Source organism: Homo sapiens, chromosome 8, assembly GCF_000001405.40.
Source record: "Homo sapiens chromosome 8, GRCh38.p14 Primary Assembly".
NCBI lineage: Eukaryota > Metazoa > Chordata > Mammalia > Primates > Hominidae > Homo > Homo sapiens.
Genome location: NC_000008.11, coordinates 60,956,326 through 60,977,533, shown reverse-complemented (window position 1 = coordinate 60,977,533; position 21,208 = coordinate 60,956,326). Strand labels below are relative to the sequence as shown.

Here is a 21,208-nt window from a genome sequence, read left to right as displayed (position 1 = left end):
TTTTCAACTTTTCTATTTGGTTCCTTTTTATAATTTCTATCTCTTTGTTGATATTCTCATTTTGTTCATACATTATTTTTCTGATTTCCTTTGTTCCTTTGGCATGGTTTTCTTTAACTGATTTCACATATTTAAGACTGTCGATTTACTGTCTTTGACTAATCATTCCTGTGTCTCAGATTCCTCAGGGATGATTTCTGTCAAATTATTTTTTTCCTGTGAATGAACCATATTTTCCTATTTCTTTGTATATTTTGTATTTTTGTTGTTAGCAACTGAATATTTTGAGTGTTATGTTATGGTAACTCCAGAGATTTAATTCTCCCACATCTCAGGAATTGCCAAATCTTGCTTTTGGAGGACTAGGGTCAACCATTTTGAACTTTTCTAAACAAATTTTGCAATTGTATATTACTTGTTTTTTGTGGTCAGTGAAGTTTCTGCTCCATTGCCTCTGCAGTCAGCCAATGACTGACAGATATTTCCAGACTGTCTACCTCCCAAAAGTGTCTGAGGGTTTGGAGGAGTGAAACTAGCAGGTAGGGAATAGATCCTGTCTCTTTAAATCCCCTCGGGAGCTGCTTTAGCCCATGGGGGTTGAAACAATGGCCAACCTCTGTGCCAGCCCCTCCACAATCAAAAGCAGTGATCAGCAATCAAAACACACAACCCCAATTTTTGGAGGATAAAGTTTCTATTGCCCCACTGGGCGGCAGAAAGCCGCATCAGGAATGCATACCACCGCCCCCATGGCAAGCAGATGCAGGGCTAGGGGATGAGGGCGGTAGCCACTGCTAGACAAACAGCTGAAATTCACTGAAAATTGCCAGTCTCTTTATCAAGCTCTCACCTGAATGTTCAATTGTTCTATTAGACTTCAGAGTTCCAAAATAGTTGATTCAGACCGTTCCTAGCTGATGCTCAAGTCCTAAATTCCTAGAGCTTCCTACTCCACCGTCTTCCCATGACATTACCCAGTAGTGCTTAATTTTGATTTAGAAACAAGATAGACAGCAGGGCTGGTGGCAAACACCTGTAGTCCCAGCTACTCAGGAGGCTGAGGCAGGAAAATTGCTTGAGCCCAAGAGGTGGAGGCTGCAGTGAGCCATGATTATGCCACTGCACTCCAGCCTGAGCAACAGAGTGAGAACTTGTCTCTAAAAAAAAAAAAGAAAGAAAGAAAAGAAACAAGATAGAGAAAGTAATTATTAATTCCAAGTTCAAAGTACATGTTTTCCCAAACATGAAAAAGCATTTTTTCAATGTGGGTCATCACTTTTTCATAGTCTCTCATCAGGGATTAAACAACCCAGTGACTTTTGTCTGCCATCTTTAAGTCACAGATATTCTTTAAAAATTCCTTTAGGAGGCAGGAAAAGTATGAAATATGCTGGTAACTTGAATTGAAAAAAAATTTAAAGCTAGAAGGTCAGAATTGAAAGATCAAAGTGATGGCACTCAATGAGGTACCTCTTCTAGGGAATCAAAAGAGAAAACGAGTTTTCAAAATTAAGGAAAGTTTGATCAAGAGAAACATTGGGTCTCAGGGCAGAGAAGCCCCCGGCCTCCTTGTACTTATTGTATGTACTCTTCACTTAGCTCTTGGCTCCTGGTGGCTTGTGGTATCTCCATCTTATGGTCCTCCTTGACCATTTAACTTTCACATCATTTAAGTTCTGCTGGGACATGGGTTCTTTACTCCAGCACAACTAGCTCCCTCTTAAGAACAATAATTATTTCTTAAATATTATAATTAATGTGAAAGAGGAAGAAGACAATGCAGGAAGAGGGGGTGAGGAAGGATGTCTTAGTTTTCTAGAGCTGTCATAAAAAATTAACACGAACTTGGCAGCTCAAAACAAGAAATTATGTTCTCACAGTTTTAGAGACCAGAAGTCCAAAATTAAGGTGTCAGCAGGGCCATGGTCCCTTTGAAGCTCCAGATACTGCCTTGCCTCTTCCTGCATCTGGGGGCTCCAGGAAATTTTTGTCTTGTGGCAGCATAACTCCAACCTCTGCCTCCATCTTCACCTGACCTGTTCCTCTGTGTGTCTGTGTGTCTGTTTGCCAGTTCCAGTCTCTGACTGATAGGGATATCAGTCGTTGGATTTAGACCCACCCTAAAACCAAGATAATCTCATCTCAAGATCCTATACTTAAATGCCACTACAAAACCCTAGTTTTTAAAAATAATAACAAACACTTGCTTTCCCAGACATGCAATTTTGTCTTGCATCAGTGCCATGAAGTAGGCAACATTAGTGCTCTTTTACAAAGAGTGAAATGGGGCTCAAAAAAATAATGCAGGATTATGCAGGCATTCAACTGTGGCACTGGGAATCAGACACAGGTTCTAAATCCTGTGCTTTTTTCTCTCATCTATGATGTCTTCCCTCTTACTCCTGCTATTTCCTTTTCCTCCTTTTTCCCCATTCCAAGGGCACTCACAGGGTTAGGATATGCACCCATTACCCTATGATCCATGGTTCTCAGCACTCTGAGTACCAAAACCATCGAGGGAGCTTTTCTCAAAGCTGATGACTGGGTTCCAGTCCAAGCCACTCAAATCATAACCTCTGAGGGTGTGCCCTGGACATCAGCAATTCATCCAAGCCCCTCCAGCTGATCCTCATGTGCAGCCAGGATTGAGAGCTACTGCTGTAGATGTTTGTCTCTCTTCTAAGCCATAACAAATAAAATATTCACTCTTTCAAATATCATCAAATTTTTGAAGCAATTCTTTTTTTTTTTTTTTGAGATGGAGTCTTGCTCTATTGCCCAGGCTGGAGTGCAGTGGCGTGATCTCGGCTCACTGCAAGCTCCGCCTCCCGGGTTCATGCCATTCTCTTTGGAGCAATTCTTAATAAACCAGTTGACTAAAACCAAAAACAAAGTGGCCAATGACACTTAAGCTGACATGTTTAGTGTCCCTCCCTTCCCAAATTCCACTGAAAGAATCAGAGAGTCATACTAAGTGGGGAGAAAACTGTATCACATCAAGGTAAAATAAGCATGGTATCAATGGGCTAGAAACTTTGAGGAAGTCAATGTTTGTGTAATTTGGTGCCTGTGAAGGGATGGATCAAAGTACTGACAGCCCTGTTCAATACTCACAAAGGAAGTACCCTGTGGGAATCAAGTAGGTGATTCCCCAAAGATCTGGGAAGTTCTCAAACTTGAAATGGAAGAGGATGGGACTCTGGAGGGTGGCAAATGAGAGCAGTTTGGCAGCTCCACCAGGGCTTCACAAACAGAGCTGCTGGCCTCCGGGAGGGACTCGTGGAGGCAGGGGACTTGGGGAGTGCCCCCATCTCACCTCCCCACAGAGGCTTAAAAAAAACTATTTGAAAAAAAGCAGTGAATTCCTCAGGGAAAACTGCCTTCCAACAACTTCTCCCAGCTGAATATATCCCTACACAAGGAAAATAAAACTGCCAAATAAATAAAAACATAAAATTTCCCCTTTGGGAGTAAGAGAACAGGAACCAACACAATCACTGACAAAACCATCTCAAGTCTCCAAACTGAATAAATATAGATCTCCTTCCAAAGGAAAAAGCAAATCAAAAGAATAAAAATAAAATTACAGATCATCTTGTTACAGTGGGCAGCTAGTCAGACATGAACAGGACAGGAGAGGGCCGCCACCCTCCACCTCCCCCACCCAGGAGAGTCAGGTGACCATCAGGTGATAGGAAACACCTGAAACTGGCGATCAGCAGCTTCCCAGTAAGATCTCAGGAGCTGGGCGAGTGAGCTCGAGCATGAGCATTATGAGGCAAAAGAGTTTAACTGGTATATGTCCTTCCGGGGGCATTCCATGGGAAAAGGGATGCAAGACAGCAGAAGCATGCCAACATATAAAACCCCAAGTCAAAAGGCAACCCCACACTTGACCTGCAAGATGCTCCCTTGGCCCTCTTCCAGCTGTACTTTACTTTCTTTTCATTCCTGCTTTAAAGCTTTTTAATAAATGTTCACTCCTGCTCTAAAACTTGCTTCGGTCTCTTCTTCTGCCTTATGCCCCTCAGTTGAATTCTTTCTTCTGAGGAGGCAAGAATTGAGGTTGCTACAGACCCATACAGATTAGCCACCAGTAACTCAGATACCCATCATCAATGACAATATGAAAAGATCAAGTACACAAACAGAAAAAAATTTTGGAAACTCATAGCAAATGTTTATCTCTGAAATATACCTATTTCCAAAAGCAGAAGGTAAGTTTAACACAACCTTTAATTTTGTATAAGGAGAAAACAATTGATAAATATTCCTACCCAATGAAAATCATGCTCACTAAACATTTTTTTAAATCAACTTTAACTTGCGCAGTGTGACAGCTTAGATTTTTCTAAAGATGGCCAATCTTTCAACCCACATGCTCATTTGCAACGGGTCCTTTCTCTTCCAACCCAAGGAGGAATCTCTTTCTTCATACCCTTGAATCTGGACAGACCCCCATGACTTCTCTGACCAACAGAAGCAACACTGTGCCAGCTCTGGGCATAGCCCTCAACCACCCCAGCACTGGCAGCATTCGCCTCCTGTCCACTGGAAGTCAGTAGCTGGAAGTCAGAACCCAATGGGTTCATCTTGTCCACTGCCCAAACACAGCTGATTTATCAAGATGAGGAATTGCAATAGAGAGAGTTTAATACACATAGAGCCAGCTAAAAGGGAAATCAGAGTTTTATTACTATTCAAATCTGCCTCCCTGAATTTTTGGAGGCTAGAGTTTTTCAAGGATTGCTTGATGGGCATGGGGCTAGTGAAGAGGAAATGCTGATTGATTGGGGCTGCAATCATAGTGTTGTGGAAAACAGTCCTCCTGCACTGAGTCCACTTATGGGTGGGGGCCACAAAGGAGTTGCTGGTCCAGGTAGGGCCATCTGGTCATCAAAAATGCAAAAGCCTGAAAAGACATCTCAAAAGGCCAACCTTAGGTCTACAATAATAATGTTATTTACAGGAATAATTGGAGAAGTTGCTAATCTCGCGACCTCCAGAATAATGGCTGGTAATCACTTAACTATACCTATATCTTAAGGGAATTCAGGCCCCTCTCATCCTCCTAACCTGGTGTCTTTTCATGAGTTTTAAAATTAATAAACTTATTAATTTTAAGTTTTTAAGTTTAGTTTGAAGAGGGCTATTATTACTTAAACTATGCACTAAATTTTTCCCAGAGTTAGTTTGGCCCATGCCCAGGAATGACCATGGGTACTTTGGAGGTTAAAGGCAAGATGGAGTTGGTCAGATCTCCTTCACTGTCATAATTTTTTCACTGTTATGATTTTTGCAAAGGCAGTTTCATGACCACACTGAGACCACCATGCTGTGAGAAGCCCAAGTCACACAGAGAGGCCCTAATGGGTGAGACAGCATAGAGAGAGAGAGAGAAAGACAGTTACAAAGACAGAGACAGAGAGGCCAAGGCACACCAGACATGAGAATGACAAAGCCAGCATAGAAGTGAACCCTCCATCCCAGCTGCACCAGTTGAGGCCACGTGATCAGACCCACCACCCAGCCGAGCTTACCAAATTCCTGACCCTAAGAATCATGAGCAAATACAATTGCTTGCAAGCCATAATGTTTTGGGGTAGTTTGTTACACAAAAATAGAAAACTGACAGAGGCAGCCAGTAGCAGCCTGGGGTATCTTAAAGAGAAACGGGGGAAGGTGGGGGTGGGGGTGATGTATACTTCCTGAATGTTGAAATCCCAAACTGTCTTCTCGATTCAGTTCTCAGAATGCTGGCAGCCAAGGTATTACCCTCTGGGCAGGAGACTGGCAAATTCTCCTCTGGGAAATATGAACAGCTCTAGAAGACCTAAAGCAACTCACTCAGGGATTCCTCACAGCCACCCTGCTGAGAGGCTCATTTTCACAGGACCCCAGCTATAGGCAGGCAACCCCCATGCCAATAAACATGTGTAAACAACCCAGGTTTACTCTGCACCTCTGGAAGCCTTTATCATGAAAGAGAGAGACCAAATACACAGAAAAAAAGGGGATTTGGAAGAAACAGACACTATGCAGGCAAGAGAAAAGTTAAAATCAAAGTGAGCATTACTGTCCTTGGGGACAAAGATGTGGAAGATACTGCACCCACAAAACAAAGAAGAGCAGGATGCTATTAAAAAGGAAAAGTAGGCCGGGCACAGTGGCTCTCATCTGTAATCCCAGCACTTCGGAAGGCCAAGGCAGGAGGATGGCTTGAGCCCAGGAGCTCCAGGCCAGCCTGGGCAACATGGCGAAACCCTATCGCTACAAAAAATACAGAAAAATTAGCTGGGTGTGGTGGTGGGCGCATGTAGTCCCAGCTACTCGCAAGGCTGAGGTGGGAGGATCACCTGAGCTAAGGAGGTCGAGGTTGCAGTGAGCTGTGATTGTGCCACCTGCACTCCAGCATGGGTGACAGAGTCAGACTCTGTCTCAAAAAAAAAAAAAAAAAAAAAAGGAAAAGTCATCAAAGAACAAAAAAAAAAAGTTGCTAGATTGTTAGACATTTAAAATATAATAATATAAATAAATAACTCAGCTGAAGAGATGGAAGATAAGTTGAGGAAACGTTTTAGAAAGAGGAGCAAAGGACTGAGATGGAAAATAAAAGAGAAAAGATAAAAAAATTAGAAGACCAGTGCAGACTAACAATTATCTGTTTCATCCAAATAATAGAGTTCCAAAGAGAGAGAACTAAAGAAATAGAGGGGATGAAATCACCAATAAAATAATTCAAGGAAATTTCCCAGAATTGAATGGCATGACATATACCAAGTCACATCATCATGAAAGTTCACAGCATTGGTGAGAAAAAGAAGATTCTGCAAGAGGGAATGGAGATTTCAAAGGAAAGGTCATGTACAGAGGTTAAGAAGTCAAATGACTTAGAACTTCTCAACAGCAATACAGGGAGATAGAAGACATGGGTGCAATGCCTTCCAAATTCAGAGAAATTATTTGCATCCTGGACTCACCTACCCAAACTGTGCATCAAGGGCACGTGATTTTCACACAAATTTTCAGACACATAAGGTTGCAAAAAATTAACCTCCCACACGCTTTTCTTAGGAAACTGCAGAACATGTTTCATAAAACAAAGGAATTAACCAAGGAGGAAGAAATGAGATCCAGGAAACAGGCTTCAACACAGTAGAACAATAAAGGAAATTCCCAGGACATTAGTGAAGAGGGATCTCAGGATGACCAGCAGCCGGTCCTGAGGAGAGCTCAGCAGAGGGCTCCAGGGCAGACCTCTCAGAAGATGAGGAGACAGAATGGCGGATGTGAATCCGCATCTCAAGAGAAGATCCAGATCACAGGCATAGAATCAGAGTTGAAAAGTGCATGGAAAACCAAATAAATAAGCCAAGAACAACTTTAATCCAGAGCAGCCCTCCCCAGCAGAACCAGAATGTGAGCTCCATGTGTAATTTTAAATGTTTTATAATCACATTTTTTAAAAGAACTCAAATTCATTTTAATAATACAGTTGCTCCTTGACGTATCGGGGGAGGCGACTTTGATATATCGGGTTCCAGGACCCCCTCAAATACCAATATCCATGAAAGCTCAAGCCCCTTATATAAAATGGTATAGTAATTGCATAGAACCCATGCACATCCTGTTGTATATTTTAAATCATCTCTAGATTACTTATAATATCTAATGCAATGTAAAGGCTCTATAGATAGTTGTTATACTGTATTGCTTTTTTATTTGTTTTATTTTTAATTTTTTTCTTGAATATTTTTGATCCTAGGTTGGTTAATTCATGGATGCTGAATCCATGGACAGGGAGGGCTGACTGTGTGTTATATTTAATTCAATATATCCAAAATATGTCAACATAAAACCAATAAGAACTAAAAATAAAATCCTAACAGCCCCCGCCCCTGCCAACTGACTGAACTGACCCCCTCTTGGCCAAGGGGATCCCAGAGAAACCTTAAAAACTGAGTTCCTGGCCATGATGGGATAGGACGTCAAACACGTATAACCCCTTTCTTTTACGGTTTAGACACAACCACTGACAAGCATTAATATTAAAACAGAGATCGTAAGGCTGACATAACAGACGCTTTGTGGCAGTAAGATACCGAATTGGAAACAGAACCTAAGGCTATGCTAGGCAAGGGTTAAGTCATGCACCCCTACACTTAAAGAGTATACTATGTCCTAAGGGCTACAGGGTTTTTATTTTTCTCTGGCAGCCAAACAAGCAGTGGCCCTGAGATAAGCAATATTGAAACAACTGCAGCTCACCAGCCACCAGACACTGCCTGACTAACCCCCAACCCCTGTTCCACAGCCATAACTACAGCTTTGATTGGACAAGAGCCTTATTTCAGTAACTTTCTCCTGATAAGAGACCACTGACTATAGACTGGTTCTGGCTGGATTACAGAGGCTGTACACTGAGTGCCTTGGTGTCCCTGCTTCACCTTTTGACGTATAGAGCTTGATTGTGATACACTTCATTGTTGTCTCCACCACAAGGTGAACATGGCTTGTATGTAATATACATGTTTGTTCAGAACACATGCATTAGGACCCCCTTTGTGAACATCCATAGCACCATGCCTGGCCTCCTAGTTTTCTTTTTCTTTTATTTTTTTTTATTTTATTTATTTATTTTTTTTGAAACAGGGTCTTGTCCTATTACCTAGGCTGGAGTGCAGTGGCATGACTGCAGCTCACTGCAGCCTTAACCTGCCAGGCTCAAGTGATTCTCCCACCTCAGCCTCCCAAGTAGCTGGGACTACAGGCACATGCCCCCACACTCAGCTAATTTTTGTATTTTTTGTAGAGATGGGGTTTTGCCATGTTGCCCAGGCTGGTCTCGAACCCCTGGCCTCAAGTGATCTGCCCACCTCAGCCTCCCAAAGTGCTGGGATTATAGGTGTGCACCACCATACCAGCCCCAGTTTTCCTAACAAACATAACAATATTAGTTATTGTTAATAATATTGATTAAACTCATACAGGTTATAAATTTGATTTTTTTTTTTTTTTTGAAACGGAGTCTTGTTCTGTGGCCAGGCTGGAGTGCAGTGGGGCAATGTCAGCTCACTGCAACCTCTGCCTCCCGGGTTCAAGCGATTCTCCTGCCTCAGCCTCCCTAGTAGCTGGGACTACAGGCGCACACCACCATGCCAAGCTAATTTTTTGTATTTTAGTAGAGACAGGGTTTCACCATGTTGGTCAGGCTGGTCTCGAACTCCCGACCTCAGGTGATCCGCCGGCCTCGGCCTCGGCCTCCCAAAGTGCTGCGATTACGGGCGTGAGCCACTGCGCCCGGCCTTGCACAGTGGGTCACACCTATCAGCCCCGCAATTTGGGAGGTCAAGGTGGGAGGTCACTTGACCCCAGGAGTTTGAGACCAGCCTGAGCAACATAGTGAGACACCATCCCACAAAAAAATACGTAACAATTCGCCAGGGGCAGGCCTGTGGTCCCAGCGACTTGGGGGACTGAGGTGGGAGAATCGCTTGGGCCCGAGAATTTGATGCTGCAGTAAGCAGAGATCACACCACTGCACTCCAGCCTGGGCGACAGAACAAGACCCTGTCTCTAAATAAATAAATTAAATTAAATGATCTCTGGAAGATTAGTCCACGGGTGTGTGGAGAATTTTCTAGAAAATACTATCAATGTAGGATTGTCACTTTAAAACGTCACCCGCTCTCATTGGTCCGTGGATAGAGCAATTAGGCAAAGCTAGGAGGCAGCCCTGAGTACTCATAAGAGGAAAAAGAAAGCAAAAGGGATGCCGGTGGTGGCAGATGCTTCCTCCTGGCCAAATCCCAAATCCCACCCTCAGCACCCACACCCTGAGCAGTGGGCAGGAGAGGCCTGAAAACGTCTGTACAAATGGCTTCCGAGAAGCCCTGGAGATAAAGGAGCCAGAGGCAGCCACACATGGTTCCCAGAAGCTGAATGCTGCGCAGACGACAGGGTAAGTATGCACTGCACCCTGCTTCACCCACACCTCAAGCCGTCCCCTTCTGCTGGGGTCTGGCTACTGCACTCGTGGTCCCCTTGGTAGCTTCACGATTTATGTCTCTATGCGGCTTCCGTTCCCCTTCCCTCTGCCAAGCCAGTACCACCATCCTTCACCGCCCAGTGCAGAGCTTCTTTCTCCAGTGAGTTTTCTCTGACCACTCCTGTCCTCACCAGCCATCTTTGTTTTTAATTCTCATGCACCTCTTTGTGTATGTCTTACACAGTTTGGGCATTCATTATATGCTATTTTAAATTGCATGCTCTTGTTTCATATGTAAGTTCCAATCTGCATGGTAACAAGGACAATACCCTATGCTCTTGCATGTTCCATCAGACCTAGCGCAGGACTACATCCATAGTATAGGTTTAAAGAGTATTTGATGGTTGATTATTGACAGTGAGATTTCATATGCATTTATGCATTTCTGTGATACTTTTTATCACAGAAACTATGGTATGTTATAGATATGTAGATAGATGAGAAAGAGACAAAGAGAATTTCCATTTCCATAGATAGGAATTTAGTGCAAAACTGAGTTGTTTCTTCAGTTCATGGCATGTTAATTATCATAACTGGGCATTTTAAACCCCCTCTATTCTTTAATTTTATTTGAATTTTTTCCCTCTAACCTTGATCCCCATGGCATGTCTCCTTCCTCTCTCTCCACCCAATGTCATGTATAAGAAATTTGTGCCTGGAAACGTAAAAATACAATATTGTGTGTATGTGTATGCTTCTGTTAACATTATTAAAATGACACCATGCTATAAATACTGTCCTATTTCTTACATGTTCATTCAACAGTCTTGCTAAAGATTTGTGTTCATTCATTACTTCAGCTGCTGCATGGTATTCCAGCATAAGCTCCCACCACATTTTCTCTATTCCCCAAATGATGGGTACCTAAGTTCCCTCCAACTCCCTGGGACCCAGAAAGATATGTAGGACATCTTTACTATGTTTATTTCCACATGAATCTGTGCAAGAGTTTCTCTGGCATATATTGGGATGCTGGGTCATGGCATATGCAAATATATAATTTGGCTATAATTTACCTTGTTCTCCAGAATGACTTCACCCATCCTGCTTCCACCCGCCATAGCAGTGACCAAAGCAGCACTGGGACCACAGCTGAGCACCTCAGAAGATAAGTCCTGGGGTGATTCTTGTCATCTCCGTGAAAAGGAGAAGACAAAAAGGCAGAGGCTGCTGCTTGAGGATCCCTTCACCTGGGCTGCATAGCTCACCCATGCTGACCAACTTCCCCATTTCAAGCTTCAGACTCACAGCCGCGCTAGTTAGGGTACCACTTGTTCAGACAGCTGTTTTCATTCACATCTCCAAAGGTCCTCTACCTTAGAAGAAGAAAGAAAGAGGGAAAGAGAAATAAAAGAGATTAATTAAGAACACTGGGGCCAGGCGCAGTGGCTCACACCTGTAATCCCAGCACTTTGGGAGGCTGAGGCAGGCGGATCACCTGAGGTCAGGAGTTGGAGACCAGCCTGGCCAACGTGGCAAAACCCCATCTCTACTAAAAATACAAAACTTAGCCAGGCATGGTGGTGGGTACCTGTAATCCCAGTTACTTTGGAGGCTGAGGCAGGAGGATGGCTTGAACCTGGGAGGCAGAGGTTGCAGTGAGCCGAGATCATGCCATTGCACTCCAGCCTGAGTGACAAGAGACTCTGTCTCAAAAATAAAAACAAAAAACAAAAAAACAAAATCACACACATCTGAACCCGCAGTTTCATAAATGGTAAATAAAAATGCCATGCACCACGAATCAGAAATAACGTGGCTCTGGGTTGGCGTCTCTCCCCCACCAACCAGGGAACGAATGCACCCCTTCGCCAGGGGCAGCAGAGAGAGGTGGCTCTGTCTTCCTGCCTGCATCCTCCTGTTTCATCATCCAGGTTCTGTGTGGCCCAGCGGCCTGGGGCTCTTTTGTTTGCCCCCTCCCTGCCCTCCATCAGGGGTGCCTAATGGGGCTCCCGAGTGCTCTTCCACTGTCATCTATCCCCCTCCTTTGTGTCCTGAGCCCTCCACGAGCTCATGTGTGAGCTTGAAGATCAGACACCACAGACACTCTTCCCCACTCTGCCTCAGCTGCCAAACCCGGAGAAGGAAGGACGGATCAGACACCAAGACAGAAAAACAGAGTACCTGAGAAAGGCAGAGAGCTGTCTCCTGCCTCAGCCCCCAGAGGCCCGTGTGCCCCTCACTTCCCTCCTTTGATTCCCACCATCTGGGGTCTACCTCTGAATTGACAAACTCTTGCTCGGTCACATCTGGTTCAAGAGAAAGAAACAAGGAGTTTGGAAACCTAAACTAATAGGCAGCACTTGGCACGCACAATAGAAGCAGCTGCTGTTTATAGCCCTTTTTAAGGGTGGCCTCAGGCCGGACCTCACACTTCCCTCCCTGTGGGGCATTGTTTTACACAGAGCATCTGCAACCTCACAATCTTGCAACTCAAAAAAAAAGAAAAAGAAAATTCATGCATCCCATGAATCTATGAAGCTATAACAAATTCTCTTTCCTGGGAAAACTTCCCAGGCCTGCTCCTATTTCCCTCTCAGAGTAAGGCAGGTCCATATGGTTCCTAATGCCTCAATTTCTCTATCCATTAAGTGGGAATATAAAATCAGCCAGTCAGCTATCCAGTTAAAATGCTATCCCGGCCAGGCGCGGTGGCTCATACCTGTAATCCCAGCACTTTGGGAGACCGAGGCGGGCAGATCATGAGGTCAGGAGATCAAGACCGTTCTGGCTAACACGGTGAAACCCCGTCTCTACTAAAAATACAAAAAAAAAAAAAAATTAGCCCGGTGTGGTGGCAGGTGCCTGTAGTCACAGCTACTTGGGAGGCTGAGGCAGGAGAATGGCGTGAACCCGGGAGGCGGAGCTTGCAGTGAGCTGAGATCGCACCACTGCACTCCAGCCTGGGCGAAAGAGAGAGACTCCATCTCAAAAAAAAAAAAAAAAAAAAATGCTATCCCATGAAGGCTTTTCCTAAATAACAGCCTACGAAGTTTGAAACACTTCCAATGTCTAAACTGGGGGAAAAAATCAGCATGAATTCAGGTTGTCAGTTCAAGACTAATACCACATTGCAGAAGAGGCAAGTAGCAAGGCCCATCCTGCTTGGTATTGTGATCCATGCCTCTTTTCTGACCCCAGGGTTTCTTTCCCCTGGTCTTGTACCCATAGAAACAAGCGTGGACTTGGCAGGCAGGAGGAATCATCAGACTCCATCAGCACCCTTCCAATCCCCATCCTTGATTTCAGACACCTGAGCAGGCTCCATTGGGCAAGGTGGCGCCTAATTACCTCCCTTCTGTTTTTTTCCTCCTCTCCTCTCTTGCCTTCTTCCCTCCCCACCCCCTCAGAGGACAGCCTTTCCAAGAAATAACACACACACGCACACCTGGCACGGTGAGATAGGGAAGCTCACCATGGATACCGGGCTACCATTCCCACTCCGGCAGCGGCTCCTGGGAATAAGTAACTATCTCTAGAATGCTAGAAACTCCAGATGTGCACCGACTAGTGCCTTGAGACCCAGCATCCCTGTCTCATTATGCATATTTTTTTCCACAAGTTTCATATATGCATATCAAGCTTTCAGAAGGGGAAAAAATTGGAAATGGTAATCTTCCTTTTATTATGCTACCACATGCCAGCCCCGAACAGCTGTGCACACACAACATGTTGGACTGGACATGAAATATAGCCCACGACCATTTTTTAAGCATTCATTCCCAGGACTTACAAAACACATTTACTTGGAGGGAGGTCACACAGTCTTCCTTCTGCATAAAAAGGTGGCTTTGAAATAGGTACAGCCATCTGGAAACAGCCTCCTCTGCTATTGATATGTAAAATGCACATATTACACCATCTTGCTCAGGAGCATGCAGCAGGAGGCTGAGACACACACAGGCCGTAATTGTTTAAATATACAGGCCTCTGGGTCTCTGCAGGGCTTACCTTGCTCTGAAAAACCATTTGCCAGCAGCGTAGGTGACTCTGAACAGGCCGGGGAGGCAATTTGCTCACAGGGGCATTCATCTGTGTGCAGGAGGACTGTCCTAGAGCCCAGGTTTGAGAGAAATTTTTTCAACACTCCACTGCTGCTCCAAGCTTGCTAATAAGAATGTCTCAGGTGCATGACTAAAAGTAGGCAGCAAACACACTATCAAAATAATGACCCCAGCTCTTTTGCTCATTATAGCCAAGCATTTGCCTCTCACCCCAAGAAGACTAAGATCCCACTCTTAAGAATGGGTTTTGTTCCACATTTACAGACCAGGAGCAACGAGTCCTATATTCCTCACTGATCTCCACGTAGTCAGGGGGATGACTGACTCCGTCAGTTTACTAACATTTGCTCCTTAAAATTAGCATCCTCCCCCTCAGGAGTATTTTCATTGCCAGAGCTTTTCCAAATACATTTTTTTTTTTTTTTGAGGTGGAGTCTCACTCTGTTGTCCAGGCTGGAGTGCAGTGATGTGATCTCAACTCACTGCAACCTCTGCCTCCTGGGTTCAAACAATTCTCCTGCCTCAGCCTCCTGAGTAGCTGGGACTACAGGCACCCATCGCGACAATGGGCTAATTTTTGTATTTTTAGTAGAGACGGGGTTGCACCATGTTGGCCAGGCTGTTCTTGAACTCCTGACCTCAGATGATCCACCGCCCCCTTGGCCTCCCAAAGTGCTGGGATTACAGGCGCGAGCCACTGCACCCAGCCCCCAAATAAATTCTTGACCTCTGGAGGTATTTAATTTTTGTGTTGTTTCTGCCATTTTTGTTTCCTAAACTTGTTTTTTAATCTTTGCCTTTTTTCTAAATATAAATATGTAAGGTAGCTAAATTTAAATATATATATATATATTAGCTAAATCAGCACCTAAAATTTAAAATGACTAGCCAAAGGGTACCAAGTTTCAGTGAGACAGGATGACTAAGTTCTGGAGGTCTATTGGACAGCATGATGACTATAGTTAATCGTATTGTATTGTATCCTTAAAAATTGCTAAGAGGGTAGATCTTCAATGTTCTCACCCCACACTCACAAAACGATAACGACATGAGGCAATGGCTATGTTAATTAACTTCACTCTGGTCATCACTTCACAAGGTATACATATATCAAAACACGATGTTGTACACCGTAAATATATACAATTTTTAATTGTCAATTATACCTTAATAAAGGTGGAAAAATTTTAATTGTATCCCAAAGAAATCTTAGAAAAAATACAGAGCTCTGAAGTAACTCAAAAGGTTAAGCAGTTAAATGTACAAATAGAGCTCCTGTTACACAGAGAGAGGAGAGGGGAGAGAGAGGGGGGAGAGAGAGGGAGGGAGGGAGGGAGTGAGGGGGAGAGAGGGAGAGCCTGTTGGAAGGAGGAGGCCACTGTAGGTCAGCCTGTCCTTTACATTGTGAAGAGTTTGAAAGAGGCTAATAAACCCAGCAGCCTATGGCAAAGGTAATTTATTTTATATTCCTAGTCATCACATGCAATATTTTTTTGCAGGGGGAGAGCAAATATAATTCAAAGAAAGTGATAAACAATAAAAACAGTACCTAGTGATGCTTCCACCCCCGTTCTGAGACTGTGCCTTCCTAGTCCCTTTTGTGGTGCGTTTCACAGCCTGTTTGCACACCACCATCTTGGAGGCTCCTACCTGACAGGCTGAGATGCTGGGAGTCAGTAGCCCTTCTTGGAGGCGACAAAAATCACATGAGATAACTAACTTCCAGGTGTGGGCACACACATGTCTGCACCGGCACCTCCCAGCCCCAGCCCCTGGAAAACACATCTTCTTGGCTCCCAATCGGACCCCTGCTGGGAATAATTACTAAGTGGACAGATCTCCACCTGGTGGATTCCCTGAGTCCACGTGGAGGACAGCTTCTCCTGGGCTCGAAGTGAGAGGCTGAGCCTGCTCCACTCCCAGCTTGCACTCGCTACATTCTACATGGATGAGGTCACGGGACTGCAGATGAGGTAACAGTGCAGCCTGCCCAAGAGCTGTAAGAGGTTACCATATGACGAGTCGTGTAAACACAGCGAGGTCCCCGTGGGGCCTGAGGACAGCTGGACTCTGCTCCTGGCTGCAGAGTGATGGGAGCTGCGGGACTCCAGGAGACTGTCTGCACTCTTAAAAGAGCCAAATTACTGCCTAAGCTCATGTCACACCTACCCGGACATCAGTCTCCCAGCCTCAGTTGAGAGCAAGATTCCTGCAAGAGGAGGGCTGGCTGGCCCTGTGGAAGGTGTGCATGAGGGCATGCATGTATAAATGACACAGCCCCATGAAAGAAAAGCTTTCCCAGGCAGAAAGACACTGCACTGAGGCCCATACAGCACTCTGCAAGTATAGTGCTCCACCTCTCTTCACTCACCCGGTGGAGGTGGGTCCACCTTTCTAACATCTAGACACACCTCCTAATAGTCTCTAAGTTAGAAACGTGCTTGGGAAACAAGCATTTTTTTAAAAATCAATAAAGAAATTCACATATTAAAGATCTTCTAAACAACTATAGAATGACAGATGCATTTCCACAGGTGGAACAGTCCTGCTCAATGGTTCCAGGGTCCTGTATTTCTCAAGGTCAGAATGTTCTTTCCAGGGTCAAATTGGATTAACTAAATTTGGCATCTATCTCATGTATTCCTTATTTATTTCTTTTATACTGAGCCCTACCAGGTACCCAACACTGTAGAAATCCCTGGGAATGTTGTAGAAAACAGAAGGTAACATGCTAACAGACAGTCTAGGAATGCTTACAATAGAGGGGCACATGTGTCATGGAGGGGAAATGTGGGAGCCACAGAGGCAGAGGGCATGGGGAGGCCATCCAGAGAACCTTATTAAGTTGAGACCAGATCAAGAGAGTCACAGTAAGAGTCACAGCAGCAGTGGAGAGGCTAGCTAACATTCACAAGGGGTTAGGGGTTTCTCAGTCCTGGGTGTTACAGGGCACATCACACACCTTGTAACGATTCTGTGAAGTGAGGTCACTGTGATCCCCATTTTACAGATGCTCATGGAGCTTACCAGAAGTTAAGTAACTTGCCTGAGGAAGTAGTAGAATCAGGATTTGAACCAAGAGGGTGAGACCCCAGAGCCTGCACTCCAGAATCACTCCACCCCAAACACTATCAAACGGCCACAAAAACAAGCAGACTCTCATAGCCACGCATGGGGCTGGTGCCCTACCAGCAACAGAGGCAGCTGGGTAGGCAGGCAGGCAGGGAGGGGAGACCCTGGCAGAGGAGAGCTAGATGATGGGGAGGGTATTTTATGTGTGTGTGTATATGTGTGTGTGTGCATGAGTGTGCATACACATGTGTGCATAAGATTGAAAGACAGAGAGATTTTGCAAGCATACCAAAGAATTTGAAATTTCTCCTAAGGGTCATGGCAAATTGTTTGCTATGGGTTGAATGCGACCCAAAAGTTCACGTGTTGGAAACTTAATCCCCAATGTGACAGTGTTGGGAAGTAGGGCCTAAAGGGAGGTGTTTAGGTCATGAATAGATTAATGCCATTATACAAATGGGAGTGGGTGCACTCTCTTGTGCTCTGGCCCTTCCACCATGAAATGACACAGCAAGAAGGGCCTCACCAGATGCCAGCACCTTGATCTTGGACTTCTCAGCCTCTAGAATTGTGAGCCAATAAATTTCTGCTCACTATAAATTACCCACTCTCAGATATTCTGTTATAGGAGCACAAAACAGACTAAGACATCATTGAAGTACTTTAGGCACATTAACAAGATGTTCAGACTTGTTTGAAACATGGCTCTGGCTGCCATGTGGAAAATGGGTTGGAGAGCAGTGAAGGGTGTGTTTGCAATAATTCAACTGAGGGATGATGGCCAGGATTGAAAAGGAGTGGTGAGTACACTACCAACACAGGAAGTCAAGCTCTATGCAGGAGGTAGAATCTGCAGGTCTTGGTCATGGATTGGACCTGAAGTGGTGTGAGGGTGAGAGAAGAAGGAAGGTGGAAGAGGGAGAAAGATGTTTTCTGATGGAGCTGCAGGATGCTGGAAGAAGATCAGGTTTGGAGGTGCCCATTAGGCACTCAGACATGCAGATCTGAAGCTCAAGAACAAGATCTGGTCTGAAGATAGAGATTTAGGAGTCATCAATATGACCTTATTGCTCAATGAGAACCTTGTTCCTTAATGAGACAAAAACATCACTAATACCCCATTCCTTTAACTTGCATTTTTTGTGATGCTATAGAAAGGCACACTCTCCCCCACTGGAATACAAGCTACATGAGGACAAGGATTTTTTTCTCTTGTTCTCCTCTTATTTCCCAGTGCATGACATATGGGACATAGAAAATGATCCATAAATATTGTAGAATAAAAGAACTAAAGGAAAATGCTTTCTAAAATAAACATGTAAAAATGATACAAGAAGAGTTTTAAAAGTTTTAAAGCATACCCAGAAATTGAAGATTTAAATTCTCCCTCAAACCTTTGCCCCTCAGACCCACCACATAAGATGAGGAGATAATCGTCCCTGGGGCTCATCATTCTCCCATCCTTGGTCACCTGTGTGCTCACTTCTACAGCATCAAGATTTATAACTATATTTGTCCATATGCTGTATTGTTTATAACTATATTTGGGTCTTTATTGTTTTGTTAGCATAGATTGACTCTAAAACTTTGAACTTGGAAACCACATCTATAATACTACCTTTATTGCATAAATATCATCTACTGCAGTGCTTAGGAGTGTGCTTTTTCTCATAGGAAAGTCAGTACATAACACACACACGAATGGTAACAATTAGAAGTAATGGATACATTAATTGGCTTCATTGTGGTGGCCATTTCACGATGTATACATGTATCAAAACATCAAGTCATACATCTTAAGTATATACAATTTTATGTCAATATCTTAATAAAGCTGTTTTTAAAAAACCTCAATATAGTAACCATACCATATATCACTAAGCCTGTACTGTCTATAGAAAGAAGTACCAGACATCAAGATCAAATACTTTCTGTTTAATTAAATTAAATCAACTGCTGTCATGCCACATTTCAGCTTACTTCATATTTAAACTATAAATTTCTTCTGAATATTTATTTTTCCCACGATTGCCATTACCTTACTATTTTCTGATTAACAGAAGACATATGTCCCCATCTTATCATGAAAATCTCCCAGGTTCTTCATTATATCAGGTGTGCCATGTAATCCCCTTTCTCATTCAACCCATTCTTGGGCCCTCAGCTCTCCTGTTCTAATTTGGACCAATTGTTTCCTAAGACTGCTGCACAGCTGTCATCCCCGGGCTCCTTTTCATTGCACTCCTAGGCTAGTCCCACTGTTTCTCAGATTCTCATTTTCTTTTTTCGTTGAGACCTTTTCGTTTCAATTTTGCTATGCCGTATCTCAGCCACACTCACATTCTCTCTGACTTCTGAAAATACCAAAAATGTTCCCCTCCCCTGCCTCAGATCTTTCCATAGCTTGTTCCTTTATATCATTCAAGTCAGGTTTAAATGTTGCCTCCTCATCCAGCCCTCTATCCATCTAAAACAACAACAATAAAAAAAAAAAAAACCTGTTTGTCATTCCCTATTAAAACAACTTCTTTCATCTTCAACATAACACTCTCATTATCTAATATTTTTATAATTTTATTCGTGGTTTTTTTTTTTTTTTTTTTAAGACAGAGTTTCATTTTCGTTGCCCAGGCTGGAGTGCAATGGTGCGATCTCGGCTCACTGCAACCTCCACCTCCCAGGTTCCAGCGATTCTCCTGCCTCAACCTCCCGAGTAGCTGGGATTACAGGCATGTGTGACCACACCCAGCTAATTTTTGTATTTTTAGTAGAGATGGGGTTTCTCCATGTTGGTCAGGCTTGTTTCAAACCCCCAACCTCAGGTGACCCACCCGCCTTGGCCTCCCAAAGTGCTGGGATTATAGGCATGAGCCACCGCACCTGGCCTATTTATTTTATGTCCCTTTCAATTAAAATACCAAGTCCAGGCTGGGCGCGGTGGCTCATGCCTGTAATCCCAGTACTTTGGGAGGCCGAGGCGGGCAGATCAGGAGGTCAGCAGATCGAGACCATCCTGGCTAACACAGTGAAACCCCATCTCTACTAAAAATATAAAAAATTAGCCAGGCGCGGTGGTGGGCACCTGTAGTCCCAGCTACTCGGGAGGCTGAGGCAGGAAAATGGCGTGAACCTGGGAGGCGGAGCTTGCAGTGAGCCGAGATCGTGCCACTGCACTCCAGCCTGGGTGACAGAGCAAGACTCCGTCTCAAAAAAAGAAAAAAAAAAAAAAAAAATACGAAGTCCAAGAGAGCAGGTTTTTTTTTTTTTTTTTTTTTTTTTGGTTGTTTCCACCTGTGAATTCTAGGCCGTAAGACAGTAAGAGACATATAAAAGAGGTTCAATGAACACAACTGAAAAGGCTCTCAGATGGCCACATTCACACACAATACCCAAGTCTCTTCTATGTATCCTCTGAGATGACAGAAGGGAGGTCAGAATCTTAGTATCTCTATTCTGAAATCTTGCTACCCTGAGACCATAAGCTCTCAGAGAGAAGAGTAGCTATAAATTGGTGTGACAGGATGCTAAAGGACTAGAGAAGATGCTTAAAGAAAAACAGATGGTTGTCATTTAGCTAATTGTTAGGTTTTGTTTAGCTAAGAGGGTATGTAAGCCAAAAGAAAGAGAGAAATTGTTGGGTTTTGCTAGTAGAACTATTTGTTTTTAAAATCCCTCCCTTGCAAAGCATTAAAATGCTGGATACATTGCAATATTAAGTGAATTGGTTAACTCTCAAGATAATAAGGGAAATCCCCAGAAACATAAAGTAAGACAAAACAAAATAAGCCATGAGCAAAAAAGTAAGAAAATCAGGAGTCAGGGCTAGTTAGGAAACAAAGGCAATATCAGGATTCTAGAGCAGTGTTGGCAAGCTACAGCACACAGGCCAACCACCTGTTTTTGTAAATAAAGTTTTATTGGCACATAGCCATGCCCATTCATCTATGTATGGTCAGTGACTGCTTTTGTGCTGCAACAGCAGAGTTAAGTAGTTGCAGCAGAGACCATATGGCTCACAGGCCTAAAATATTTACCACCTTACCCGTTCTGAAAACTTTTAATAGTTGTTCAGGGAAATGAAGTC

General features: G+C 43.8%; 1 protein-coding gene and 1 long non-coding RNA gene across 2 annotated transcripts in view, besides 2 other annotated features; one reads left to right on the top strand and one right to left on the bottom strand.

The window, feature by feature from the left end:
- Positions 1–12,686, bottom strand: part of CLVS1 (clavesin 1) — a 536,782-nt gene extending 524,096 nt beyond the window's left edge. The window contains exons 1-2 of the mRNA XM_024447079.2: positions 12,173–12,686; positions 11,297–11,364 (exon numbers count right to left, since the gene is read on the bottom strand). The gene's annotated coding sequence lies outside the window, so the exon portion shown is untranslated. The remainder of the gene's footprint in view (positions 1–11,296; positions 11,365–12,172) is intronic.
- On the top strand, positions 9,786–11,413 carry LOC100130298 (hCG1816373-like). Its single transcript, NR_034003.1, has 2 exons — positions 9,786–9,961; positions 11,077–11,413. It is a non-coding gene; the product is annotated as an hCG1816373-like (long non-coding RNA).
- Positions 10,095–10,154: an enhancer, noted in NCBI's record as "active region_27435". NCBI's record gives its function as "activates an Ori minimal core promoter by ATAC-STARR-seq in GM12878 lymphoblastoid cells {active_cell/tissue: GM12878}" and the evidence as "EXISTENCE:reporter gene assay evidence [ECO:0000049][PMID:35858748]".
- Positions 10,215–10,264: an enhancer, noted in NCBI's record as "active region_27434". NCBI's record gives its function as "activates an Ori minimal core promoter by ATAC-STARR-seq in GM12878 lymphoblastoid cells {active_cell/tissue: GM12878}" and the evidence as "EXISTENCE:reporter gene assay evidence [ECO:0000049][PMID:35858748]".
- Positions 12,687–21,208: the final 8,522 nt, after the last annotated feature.